General features: G+C 41.1%; 1 pseudogene; it reads left to right on the forward strand.

Moving 5' to 3' along the window:
* RPL23AP88 (ribosomal protein L23a pseudogene 88) lies at positions 13,283–13,810 on the forward strand (annotated as a pseudogene).

Here is a 14,488-nt window from a genome sequence, read left to right on the forward strand (position 1 = left end):
TATGTTTGCAATCTACCATACTTAGCACTTTGAGAAAAGAATTAACTGAGAAACTTGCTTCAAATAGGGCATTCAGTAAAATGAAGCCCCAATTGAAGTAAAATGCATATATAAAAAATGAAACTGTGACCGATTTTAAGGACAGTATTGGCAAATATTTCTGTGCTCTTGGAGGAGAAGACCCTTATTGGCATGACATGTCAGAAACCACAATGAAAGAATTATTTTAACTTGCATTCATAAAAATTAAAATTATTCATTAAAAACATCGTGAATGAAATTAAAAGTCAAAATGTAAGCCAGAAAATTATTTACAATGTATGTGTCAGGAAAAGACAATACCCTTCAAACTTTGAGAGTTTACATCAGAAAGAAAACAGCAAATGACATGATCCAAACTTGATAAAGGACATGAAAAAGAGCCAGCACTTAGTATGTTTTCTGAATGAATAAGTAGCCAACAGCACATGAAAATGCGTGTAATCCATTTGTAAGCAGAGAAATGCAAACTAAAACAGTAAAGTGTCATTTTCATTTCCTGGATTGGCAAAGGGTTTTATGTATTTTACTGATAGTGCTCAATATTAGCAGTAAACAACAAATGGTGAGTAAATATGAGCTTCGGAACCTCAGGGAAATGATCTCCTTATTTCAACCTGTAGATTCCTTCCTACAACCAGTGTCTACAGAGCACCTACTATGTGCCAGGCACAGCCTAAGTCCTGAAGGTGTAGTCTCCACTGAGAAGGTGATATTTGCACAAAGACCTGAAAGACAGGAGTGAACTGTGTGGATAACTGTGGGTACCCCTACAGGCAGAGGAGTAGCAATGTGGGTCCCAAGGTGGGACCACATCAGACATGTTCGAGGACTAGCTGAGGGAGAGAGGTGGGAGGTCAGAGGAGATGGGGGCCGGCTCTGCTGGCCGTCACGAGCACTCTGGGTGCAGAGGGCGAGAGGTGGGAGGTCAGAGGAGATGGGGGCCGGCTTTGCTGGCCAACACGAGCACTCTGGGTGCTGAGGGCGAGAGGTGGGAGGTCAGAGGAGATGGGGGCTGGCTCTGCTGGCCGTCACGAGCACTCTGGGTGCAGAGGGCGAGAGGTGGGAGGTCAGAGGAGATGGGGGCCGGCTTTGCTGGCCAACACGAGCACTCTGGGTGCTGAGGGCAAGAGGTGGGGAGGAGGTCAGAGGAGATGGGGGCTGGCTCTGCCGGCCAACACGAGCACTCTGGGTTTTCCTCCAAATGCTATGAGAGCAGAGGAGTAACCTGGTCTGACTTGGGTGTGAGCAGATCTCTCTGGTTGTTGTTCTGGAAAAAACTGAGGTGCCCACGTGAAAGCAGAGATCGGTTAGGAGGCTGCTGCAGCAATTCAGGCAAAAATGGGTGGCGGGCCTCGGGTGTAGTGGAGGAGAAGCGATCGGATTTTGGATATTTGTAGCTCCCCCAATACGATTTCCTGGAGAAGGAGATGACTTCAGTCTTCTGGCCTGAGTAGCTGAAAGGATGAAGCTGTCCTTCGTGGAGGTGGGGAATCCACAGAGAAGCGGGTAGGGAGAGAGTATCAGGAGCTCAGTGTTAGCCATGGATGTTCGAGGGGAGGTATTGAGCAGCTGATAGAGACACAGGCCTGTGGTCCCAGGAAAAGGTCTGGGGGTCACTAGCCCATGGATGGAGTCACAGGCTGCATAGACTGCAGGAAAGCGAAGGTGGAGAGAGAAGAGCAGAGTACCAGGATGGACCATTGAGCACCCTGGTGTTGAGAGCAAGTGGCCTCTAGTCAGAGTTGGGTCAGGGCCACTGTGAGTGGGCTGCCCCCAACATGAGTCGGCTGTCTAGGACTAGTTTATCTCTGCTTCTCACTTTACTGGTATTATGGGGCAGCTCCTGCTGTCTTCCAATTTGGTGTTTGTAAAATGAGACATAAAAAGCAGGTGACAAGGATACCAGGAAGTGCACAGGTCTGAGTGGAGTATGGGGCTGTCTCCAGGGGAGAGGTGGCTGTTTGGAGGGAAGGGTGACAATGGATAATCAGGGTCCATGGGCATCCCTGCTTGTTTTGGAGCCATGGACACTCAAATAATGTGATTTTATGAGGCTATTGGAGAAAAAATTGGCCACAGGGCCAAGAGGGCTGGGAGGACCCCAGCTCTCCGACTGGTGTTTGCTTCTCTGCCATCAGGGTCGGGAGGCCATGCCAAGCATTGTGATTTGCAGAGTCCATGAGACAGGAACACTCCCACCACAGTGACCTGCCTCTGCACACAGCCAGAATGTAGCTGACTCCTTTCTTCTCCCACTTGCATGCTTCCAAGCCTTCAAAACATACTCATCTCCATGTTCTGTGAATTAGCAATTTTTAAAAAAATAAAAAAATAAACAAACTCATCTCTGAAGGTCCAGGTGATTTTTATGTTTTACAGAAAGTTTTGTGAAGAGATGACAGAAAGGGTTATATCACATCCACACAGCAATAACTCCTCAAAAGCAACTTTTGGCCGGGTGTGGTGGCTCATGCCTGCAATCCCAGCACTTTCAGGGGCCGAGGCGGGAGGATCGCTTGTGCTTAGGAGTTTGAGACTAGCCTGGGCAACATAGCAAGTCCCTGTCTCTACTTAAAAAAGAAAAAAAAAATGAGCCAGATGTGGTGGCACGCAGCTGTAGTCCCAGCTACATGGAAGACTGAGGTGGTAGGATCACTTGAGCCAGGAGGTTGAGGCTACAGTGAGCCATGATCACACCACTGCACTCCACCCTGGGTGACAGAGTGAGACCCTGTCTCAAACTTTTTTAAAAGGCCAGGCATGGTGGCTCATACCCATAATCCCAGTACTTTGGGAGGCCAAGGTGGGTGGATCACTTGAGCCCAGGAATTTGAGACCAGCCTGGGCAACATGGTGAAACCCCATCTCTACTAAAAGTCAAAAAAATTAGGTAGGTGTGTTGGTATACATTTGTAGTCTTGGCTCCTTGGAAGGCTGATGTGGGAGGATTGCTTAAGCCTAGGAGGTCGAGGCTACAGTGAGCCATGATTGCACCGTTGCATTCCAGCCTGGGCAAGAGTGAAACCCTGTCTCTCTCTGTCTCTGTCTGTCTCTCTCTCTCTCTGTCTCTTTCTCTCTCTCTGTGTCTCTCTCTCTCTCTCTCACACACACACACACACAACTTATAAGCATCTCTTGTTTCTCCTAAAATTACCCTTCTAGCATTAGCTGTCCCATTAAAATTCTAATAGGCTTTTTTGTGGACATCTGCAAATTAATTATAAAATTTATATGGAAATGCAAAGGGCCAAGTAAGGGCCCTTAAAAGGGACAAAAATGGGAGAAATTACTAGATACCATGGCTCACCATAAAAGCTGCCTTGATTAAGACAGTGTGGCAGTGGTCAGCAAACAGTGGTCTGCCCCTGGGCCAACTCTGCCCACCATCTGTTTCTGTATGGCCCATGAAGCAAGAATGATTTTTACATTTTTAAATGGTTGAAAATAATTGATTGGTGGGGACAATGCTGGTGGAGTCTGAAGTTGTCATGCAGTGACTCACTCAAGGTTAGGCAGATTTGGTGATATATGACACAGAGATGCAAAGAAATGCTGTAGCTGACACACACAGGGTGGCTCTGGGAGATGCAGAAGGAGCATGTCACCCAAAATAGAGCCAGATAGACATCTTTAAGGAAGGAGCAAAGGGGCTGCATCTTAAAGAATGAAGAAGGGATTTGTCATGAGAGATGGGGCAGGAAGTTCTTGAGAGGCAGAGGGAGAGCATGAGAATGCTGGGAAGGGAGGAGAGATTCTCACACATCTGGGAAGCTGACAATTCATCAGCATGTCCGGAAGGAAAATAAGGAGGAGGAGCAGAAATAGATGAGGCTGGATATAGAAGCAGGGCTGAAGCTGTGTTGATCGTGGTAAAGAGTTGTGATTCTATCCAGAAGGCAATAGGTAGCATTCTAAACAGAGATCTCTTAAAACAAGAGTCAGCAAATATTTTCTGCAAAGGGCTAAATGTTAAATATTTTAAGTTTTCCAAGCCATATGGTCTCTCTCTTAATGACTCAGGTCTTCCATTATACCATGAAAGTAACCAGAGACGTTTTTTAACACATGTATTGGCTGTGTCCCATTACAACTTTACTTACAAACGCAGACTGTGTCAGACCTGGTCCATGCATGGTAGTTTGCCACACCCTGTTTTAGAAAGCTCAGGTTTATGATGTGATGGAGAATGCCTACAAGAGCTCTTGTTTTAAATGGTAGAGTGAATATACACTGGAATTCTATCCTGCTTGACCCAAGCTCTTGATAGCGAAAGGTAGAAAAGATAGATAGTAAATAGATAGATAGATGATAGGCAGGTAGATAGATAGATGATAGATAAAGAAAATACATAGCTGTTCCAGAAAACAGAAATGGATAATTTCATGAACCAAAAGCAGAGTAATATACTTTAGAAAGGAAGCAGGCTGGAAGACCCACAGTTGCAAAGCAAATAGAATTTCCAACTGCCTCTTGTAGCCCCTTCCTGGAAGTAGTCACAGCCCAGGGTGTTCAACTTCTTCCTCTGTTTTTTGTTTGTTTGTTGTTTGCTTTTCTGTGGGGTTTTTGTTGTTGTTGTTTGCTTTTTAAAAAAAATCCCTTTCCCTGCTTTTTTGTCACAGCAGCCTTTGTCACTTCAAACACCGCAAGTGTTCTTTAAAAAAAATTATATCAACCTTTCAACTAAAATGCAACATGTCTGAAACTTGGTATCTGGAGAGGTGAGAGGGACAAAGGAGCCGTTGTTACTGCACGTTTTCATTCTCCAAACTTCACCTTGCACACAGTAACAGACAATGCACAAAGCTACTTCCTTATGGACGGAAATTCTGAAATCCTTTTATGCCTGGCCTTTCCATCCTTCAACTTCCCCTCTCCCATGCTGTGAGTGATTGTATTGGACATTTTTGTTTTAATCTCAGTGACAGGGGAACACAGATAGCTCTAATATAGCTGTGACCCAGATGCTTCTGTTTCTAGCATGTATTAATTTTGCAGCAAACATTACATCCATAATTTTTCACTGTCCTTTGAAAATAATTAGGCAATATCTCATCTGAGGTAGGATGTTTCTAGGGGTTGTGTTCTGAGTGAGAAAAACTAATCTGTTCTCTTTCCACTGCATTCTAGGAACAGTAAGAGGACCTTGTGCATGAATAATTTGTTTCCACACTGCAGAGTGGGTAATAAGCAGATTAGTAAAAACAATTCTGCTTCACTTCAATAACAGCCTCCTCCAACTCATTTTTTCTCAACAAACTTATTTTTGCAGCAGAAGAATCCCAGACTTCTTAGAGAACCCAGTGACTTTTTGCACCTTAAATCTGTGAAATCCTCATGCTTTCTTCTGCCGTATCCATCGTTCAAACAAACATGAGGCAAAGCTAGACACATTCCTGAAGGAACCCAAGAAATTCCTCTCTTTCTCTCTCTGGAATGAAATGAATTCTCTAGACCACCAGTTCTAACCTTCAAAAACCAAACCTGTTTGTGAGATCTCCTTCAAATACTACTGTAGACCCCAGTGTTTATTCATTAAATTTTTTAAATATTTGTTTTATTTGGAATCAAAGTATTTGTAATTTTAGTATTTGTATTAATATAAGGGAGAAATGTTTAAATCTGTCTATGCCATATGTGCCTTCGGCTTATTGCCCAATTAATTGTAGCCTCAGGCTAAACTTTGGTTTCTGTCTTTAATTTTTGTCGGAAGAAATATAACCGGTCTCAAAACATCTGCTTTTATTGTAGGGACTCGTGCTGCCATCTCCATTCCTCTCTCTTTTCTTGCAATCTGGGTGGAAGTTCTTTAATATGAACATTTCAACCACCTTCACTCTACCATGTCCACTATCAGCACATTCAAACGTATCCAGCCAAGGGTATCATCTTAGGCCAGGGATTTTTTAGGAATCTATTTTGCTGTGATGCACCTGGTACCCCTTTGACTCACTTTATCACCCCAGGGTTCTTTTCATTTTAGAAGCCCAAGAGGGCAGAAAAAGAAGTAGGTGAGCAATTAAACTCTCCAAGTCAGGAGCGTCTCCCCTTGTGTTAAGCAATGTTGTAGAACATCGTATTTAGCAAGCTCCTAGCAGATGAGCCACGTGGCTGCTGAGCACACACGCCTGCTTGCTGCTGTGAGCTCAGACACCATCATTATGTCTTTTTCACCTCTGGAGGGAATTGTAAGCGCCACTTAATAACCTGTAAATCGTAGAGAGTTAAAGGTGTTTCCCTAAAACACTGATGACAGAATGAAAGGTAAGGAGTGTTAGCCACAGGTCAAAAGTGCAGGAAAGTCTCTCTATGTGGGTTGTTGAAGAAATGCAGGTCTTTTTTCTTTTGGAAGTCTCCCTAGAATGGGGTCAAGGACTCTGCCCATTCTAGGATGAAAAACTGGGATATTAGACACCCTCAGATATTTATCCCAAGCTTTCATTTTGGGCTCTTAATTAGTTCATCCATCACAATCGCAAATGCTAAGCAGGGCAGTTGAATCTGTCTACAGTCCAAATCAGCACCTTCTTTTAAAGTTGAGTTTCTTATTATTCTCACCTGATATACCTTATTTATCCCACACCCACCCCAATAACATATCGTGCTCACTGTTATCTTTAAGAAAACACTTGAATTTAACTCAGCCTGGAGCTCTCTTCACATGTCTTGTCCAGATCCAGTTCGGACTCATTCTTCAGCCGTGCATCAGTCAATGGGGGCTAGGTTAAACTGTGGTGACAAACAACCTCCAAATTTCAGTGGCTCAAAAATCTTCTTCCTCATTTATTTACATTTCATCATGGGTCAGGTGAGAGGTAGCTCTGTGCTGTGTCATCCTAACACAGGAATCCAGACGGAAGGAGGGACGATCAATAAGATCCCCATTGCTATAGAAAAGAGAAAAAAGTATGTGGAATAGCACTCTGTTTCTTGGAGATTTCTCCTGAAAAAGTCACATGTTATTTCTTCTCACCTCCATTGGCAAAAAAAAAAAGTCATGTGGCCATGTGAAAATGTAAGTAGGCGGGATGGAACAGTCAGAATGCATTCATAAAATATGAACTGAAAATATCTGGAGAACAGCACCTATGACTACAACGAATGCCAACATGCATCCCTAACAACCCAGTGCTGTCACCCTCCAAACTTTTTATGTCTTGCAAAGTATTAGAACTTCTTATCTGAAGCCATACCACTCAGAGGGAATGCAAAATACATATTGACATCTCCTTTAGGATGTCCTTAGAGAATTCATGGAAAAGAAGTTAAATAATTTAAAAGTGCTTTTGGGTACAGCTATTTAGCACTAGAGGGTAAGATTAGACATAGATTGTAAAGATAATAATAGGGTTAGGGATAGGATTAGGATCTGGGTCAGAGTCAGGGCCAGAAGTATGGTTAGAGGTGGGGTCATGGTCAGGGTCGAGATCAAAGTCAGGGTCAAAGTAAGGGTCAGAATTAGGGACCAGGATAGGGATCAGGATTTAGGTTCAGTGTCAAAGTCTTGGGACAAGGTTAGGGTTAGAATTAGAACCAGAGCTTTGTTCTCCTCAGGACCCACCCGAGGGTGGGTCACCATGGCTTTGGAGCACCTGGTAGTGTGGCGTGTCCACAGTGAAGACCAGAGTTTCATTGTCCTTAAGACTGACCTGGGAGACGTGGCTGCAGGCCATTGAGGAAGGTGAGGCAACAGCTTCCTGTCTGCTCCCCGTGTGCTGAGGAGGGAGCTCTGCCATGGGCTTTACTTTCACATGTTATATTCCACAAGTCTTGTTTTACAAAAGCATCCCTTCCTTGAGGCTTCGGCTGCTCATCGCTGCTCATCATCATAGCGTGCCATAACATATAGTAAGATTTGGGTTTGTTTCTGGGGAGATATCTTGGTATAGAGAAAGGAGAAATGCTTAGAGCCACCATCAGGACAGTTGGGATGAAAGTTGGGTATAGGCAGAGGCTGGAGGAAACGTGCATCCACTGTAAACACTTTTATTCATGTTTTAATTACTCATTTTTCTTACAGTGTTAAATTAGTAAAGATAGTATTGAAAAATTGAAAAGTAGGCATATTAAAATTTGCAACACTATTTAAGCCTAGATATATTATTTGTACCTCATCAACATTTTTTATTTTGTTGAGAAAGTTTAAGGTTAATTGACAGCATATTTCTAATAGTAGATAGAATAACATCCCTTTTATAAACATTGACATCCTACATTACATGTGTGAACCCTGAAAATCAGAGACAGCTCTCAGATTTTTTAGAAAGTTTATTTTGCCAATCTTGAGGATGTGCGCCTGTGATGCCTCCTCAGGAGATCCTGACAACATGGGCCCAAGGTGGTCGGGGCACAGCTTGGTTTTATACACTTTAGGGAGACACGAGAGATCAATCAATACGTGTAAGATGTACATTGGTTCAGTCCAGAAAGGTGAGAAGGCCAGACAGGGGGCTTCCAGGTCACAGGTAGGTAAGAGACAAATGGTTTCATTCTTTTGCATTGCTGATTACCCTTTCCACGTGAGGCAATCAGGTATGCATTTATCTCGGTGATCAGACGGGTGTCTTTGGATAGAATGGGAGGCGGGTTTGCCCTAAGCAGTTCCCAGCTTGACTTTTCCCTTTAGCTTAGTGATTTTGAGTCCCCAAGATTTATTTTCCCTTCGTAAGTGTTCCTATGAGTATTAATTATTCATTGTGTCTTTTATTACACAAATAAGGCACAGATTTTTAAGAAATCATCAACTTCATGGCTACCTATATAGACATAATTACATAGAAGCTCAACTAAATTTGCAAACATTCCAGAGTTTGGGTTTCCAATAATTCTTTGTGATTCTTTAAAAGGTAAAGTATTTTTTCCCATAAAACATAGCAACATGTAAAATCACCCGTAGAATGTCCTGCCATTTTTGTTTTTCTAGTTTCCTCATTTTCTGCAAAGCCTCGCTGAGGAAATTGACTTTGAATATCCTTTTAGACTCTTTTGTTTTAGAAAGCATTGTGGTAAAACATTGAATCATCATGGTCATAAGTTCCGTTCACATTCTTTCTTTCTTTGAATATTTTTTCCCAGTGGCCAATATTTGATTCTGTTGTATCACGGCTAAAAGGTAGGCATGGCAACAAAATAAAGACAAGAAGTCTTTGGAATAAGTGATCCCATCACAATGAATCAATTTGCCATTGGAACATGTTTTTACAAAGTCACTCTTTTGAAAATATTCAGCTATGACTTGAAACAGAGTCTGTATGGTTAATATTTTTCCTGGTCTAAGGTGAACAGCATTTTAGAGAATGAACCCAGGACACAACCACAGCACAAGAAAAAAATATAATAATTAAGTTTACACATATTGTTACTACTGTAACAGAAAACATGTAAAGGACATTTGTTTTGATTTATATATCAGTCTGCACTGTTTAATTTTTTGTGTCATAATTGCTCTTATTTTAAAAAACAGGACTAGTTAACAGTGTCAATTACTAGTAATTCATGGTATAAATAATGAAACAAGGAAGTGTTAAAAAAACAGTGTTTTAAATAAAGTTTTATTTTACGTCTTTTTTTTACTTACACGGAAATTGTCAAAAAAAGCAGAGATTTCCCATGTAGCCGCAACCTAGTTTCCTCTCTTATTAACATCTTCTATCAGTGTGTTTCACATGGCTTATTAATATCTTACATAATTTGCCGCAGTTAATGAACCAATACTGATAGACTGTTATTAACTAAAGTTCATATTTCATTTGGATTCCCTTAGTTCTATCTTACTCTGACCCAGGATCCCATCCAGGATCCCGCACGACATGTAGTCATCACATAGGCTCTTCCTGGCTGTGACAGTGTGTCAGGCTTTCCATCTCATGATGACCTTCATAGCACTGAGGAGGATTGGTCAGGAATTTTGTAGAATGCCGCCCATTGTCACTTCATGTTCTCAAGGTGAACTGTCAGCTTTGATGTTCACTTGGATCATTTGGCAGAGCTACTGTTTGTCAGATTTCTCCACTGTGAAGTTATTTTTCCTCCTTGTCCGTACTGCATGTGTTCTTTTGGAGCAAGTCACTATGCAGAGCCCACACTTACGGAGTGAGGAGTTGGCTCCACCTTCTTGATGGCTGAGTGTCTACATCAGTTATTTGGAATTCTTTTGCAAAGGAGATTTCTATGCAACTCCATTTGCTTATTCACCTAGGTATACAAATATAGACACCTAGATAATTACTTTAAGCTTTAGTTATTATTCGACACTATAGCATTATGTTGCACAATTCCTTCCTGTGTTGGCCATCGGTAGCTGTTTTTATTGGCTTTTATTTTTGTTTGATATATTTTAATTTTTTTAGTACTTACTTTCTGATACTTCCAGATTATCCTGGCTCCTATATTTACTGTCCCAGTTCTAGTATCAGACATTTCTTCAAAGAGCCTGATTCCTTTCAGAATGGTGGGAAAACTTACATGTGGCTGCTGAATGCACATTGTATCTTGTCCCTCATTAGCAATGCTAGGAAGCATATGTGCGTGTCTAACCTACCTACACACACCTAATTATAAAGTTTTCTATGTAGAACTGTGTGTATCTATATTAAACTAAGCATAAGTTTACGTTGATGTCTCCACCTCTGATCTACTATCACAGGAATCATTCTAGCCTTCTCGTCTTGCTAATTTGTAACCTCCCACTTCAACAGTGAGAAAGCTGGTTCCCACCATCTGCGACTTATGTAAGTCATTGTTTTACTCCAGATACAGACACTGTGGTTTTACAATTGTTCACAATTACTTCTGTTGGAAAGAACTTTATAAAATGGAATCCAATAATGAAGTATAGTTCATGTGCCTTCAGCCTACAGATTCTATTCATTTTCAAAGTTTTTACCTAGATTTGTGTCTTAGTCCATTTTGTGCTTCTGTAACAGAATACCTGAGGCTGCGTAATTTATAAGTAAAACAGTTTCATTTGGTTCACAATACTGGTGGCTGGAATGTGTGAGATTGGGCAGTTGCATCTGGCGGGGCCTCAGTCTTTTTCACCTCATGGTGGAAAGTGGAAGGGGAGCAAGGGGTGCACCAGAGATCACATAGCAGAAGTGAAAGCAAGAGGGAAGCCAAGGAAGCCAGGCTCTTTTTAATTACCTGCTCCTGCAGGAATTATCTATTCCTGTGAGAACAGAACTCACTCACCCCCATGGAGGACATTAATCTATTCATGAGGGATCCGTCCCCATGACCCAAACACCGTCCACTAGGCCCCACCGCCCCACACTGACGCAGTGGGAGTCAAATTTCAACATGAGTTTTTGTGGGGACAAACCACATCCAAACCATCGTAATTTGTAGCATAAATTCTTTTTCACATGATGTATTCTGTCCTGGGATACTCCACATCCTGAGTAATTTGATTTAATTTGAATAGAGTTTGCTTTAACCATTTGGCTGTAAAATTCTGCATATTTCGACAAATGCATTGTGGCAGATATCCCGCTATTAAAGTATCATATGGAATGCCTCAAACCCCCACCCCATGGAGCCAATGGCTTCCCATCTGTGTAGTTTGCCTTCCCCAGTGTCTCATTAAATGAGGTCACACTGTGTGTATCCTCCTCAGACTGTCTTCTTCCACTTAGCAATGTGCATGCAAGATTCACTCATGTCTTTGTGTGTGTTGATATCTTGTTCCTTTCTATGGCTAAATAGTATTCCATTACATGAATGTAGCACAATTTGGTTATGCATTTTGGGGAGTAGAACCTTCCTCTTCTAACTTTGTTCCAGGGTTGGAGACCTTCAAATTAACTGACAATAGATACATTAGTAGGAGAGACAATACTTGGCTTCTTGTTCCCCAAGTATCATTGTGAGACAAAATTCATCAGATGGCAGGATCCAGTTTACAAAGAGGTAAAAATAGCCCAGAAACAAGAAACAAGACTAGAATCTGATAACTCTCAATGGCTATAGTTTTCCTTTAAAAAAATTTTTTTTGAGACAGGGTCTGGCTCTGTCGCCCAGGCTGGAGTGCAAAGGTGCAATGTCAGCTCACTGCAACCTCTACCTCCTGGGTGCAAACGATCCTCCCTCCTCAGCCTCCTGATTACCTGGGACTACAGGCACATGCCGTCATGCCCATCTAATTTTTGTATTTTTGGTAGAGACGGGGTTTCTACCAAAATATTAGATTTTTTCTGTGGCAGACAACATTTATTTATTTATTTATTTAGAGACAGAGTCTTGCTCTGTCGCCCAGGCTGGAGTGCAGCGGTGCGATCTCGGCTCACTGCAAGCTCTGTCTCCTGGGTTCACGCCATTCTCCTGCCTCAGCCTCCCGAGTAGCTGGGACTACAGGTGCCTGCCATCACGCCCGGCTAATTTTTTATATTTTTAATAGAGATGGAGATTCACCGAGTTAGCCAGGATGGTCTGGATCTCCTGACCTTGTGATCCACCTGCCTCAGCCTCCTAAAGTGCTGGGATTATAGGCATGAGCCACTGTGCCTGGCACAACATTTAAAGTAATAATTGGAATTATGACTCATTACTCTATAGTGGCACATAGCATGGATAAGGAGGACATTGACAAACTTCCAGGAATTTTATATAATTTCTGAAAACATAACATTTTACCCATACAAATATAACACAGGGAAGGTTAGGTATCTCTTTTTATTTGTATCTTCTGTATGGTTTTCCTTATAAAAAATGCAACCTACTTTACTTGCGAAACATGCCCTACTTTTCTTGCATGCTTTGCATAGAGTTGTTTCTAGTTATTCTATTATTTCTAGTAGTTTTATTTACATATATTGATTATAATTTTAATACTTAGTAATCTTTTATTTTCCAGAGAAAACTAGGAAGTAGACAGTTATAAACTGTCATATATTAGCATTCTATAGTAGGTTAGAAAATGTATGAATATACCATCTCCCAACATCTAGAGGGATGTGTTTCCTCATAATACAATTCCTCAGTGTGGCAGAAAAAAACATGTTTATTAACGGGCCAAAATATCTTTAGTCTCTCTGTAAAAACAGGAAGCCAAAAGTATATAAACTTGAATTATTTATGTTCAGTAATTAATGTTTTAGTATTGTATCTTATTTATAAATGGTCTAGATATTTAATGCAAATCTTTTACTTAGCTTAACTTTAAGGTTAAAAATTACCAAAAGTACTTTGGAAACTATTCTTAGGCAGATTTACTGTAAACAAATTATTTTTGAAATAATGTTTTTCGCTTTTCACAAGACGGCACCGAAAGCGAAGGAAGCTCCTGCTCCTCCTAAAGCCGAAGCCAAAGTGAAGGTTTTAAAGGCCAAGAAGGCAGTGTTGAAAGGTGTCCGCAGCCACACGCAAAAAAGAAGATCCGCATGTCACCCACCTTCAGGCGGCCCAAGACACTGCGACTCCGGAGGCAGCCCAGATATCCTCGGAAGAGCACCCCCAGGAGAAACAAGCTTGGCCACTATGCTATCATCAAGTTTCCGCTGACCACTGAGTCGGCCGGAAGAAGATAGAAGAAAACAACACGCTTGTGTTCACTGTGGATGTTAAAGCCAACAAGCACCAGATCAGACAGGCTGTGAAGAAGCTCTATGACAGTGATGTGGCCAAGGTCACCACCCTGATTTGTCCTGATAAAGAGAACAAGGCATATGTTCGACTTGCTCCTGATTATGATGCTTTCGATGTTGTAACAAAATTGGGATCATCTAAACTGAGTCCAGCTGGCTAACTCTAAATATATGTGTATTTTTTCAGCATAAAAAAATAATGTTTTTCATAAGAATGACAACTTAATTAGAATCAAATCTATAAGCTTTAAGATTTTACATTTCTAGTAAGTATAATATTAGCTTATTTGACTAGAACTCAAGCAGAATAGGAATTTATGCTTGTTTTATATTCAATAATGATAATTTTGAAGATATAGTTGTTTTATTACACCAAAAATACTATATTAATCTTATTTAACTAAGTTTTATCCAAATCATGTTAACTTAAGAAACATTTGATCAGTTCCTATATTTCTAGGAGTTTGGTGAATATTTATTTATAAATGCTTATTTTTTTCCAAGCCAAGTTAGAATAGAGCACTTTTAGAGGATTTCATAAATGAATTTTGCAATGCTCTCTGGAGTTAAGAAAATATCACATATACATAACATACATTAATAGATATACAAACACAAATAGAGATTTCATAGCTTTCATCCTGAAATTTCAGCCTTGAATCAGGCATAAATATTCTGATGGTTAATTTCAGACATCTACTTGATCCGATTGAGAGACACACATAGCTGGTCAAACACGATTTCAGCCATGAATCAGGCATAAATATTCTGACGGTTAATTGTAGACATCTACTTGACTGGATTAAGAGACACACATAGCTGGTCAAACAAGATTTCAGCCATGAATCAGGCATAAATATTCTGATGGT

The sequence above is a fragment of the Homo sapiens genome, chromosome 2 (genome assembly GCF_000001405.40).
Source record: "Homo sapiens chromosome 2, GRCh38.p14 Primary Assembly".
NCBI lineage: Eukaryota > Metazoa > Chordata > Mammalia > Primates > Hominidae > Homo > Homo sapiens.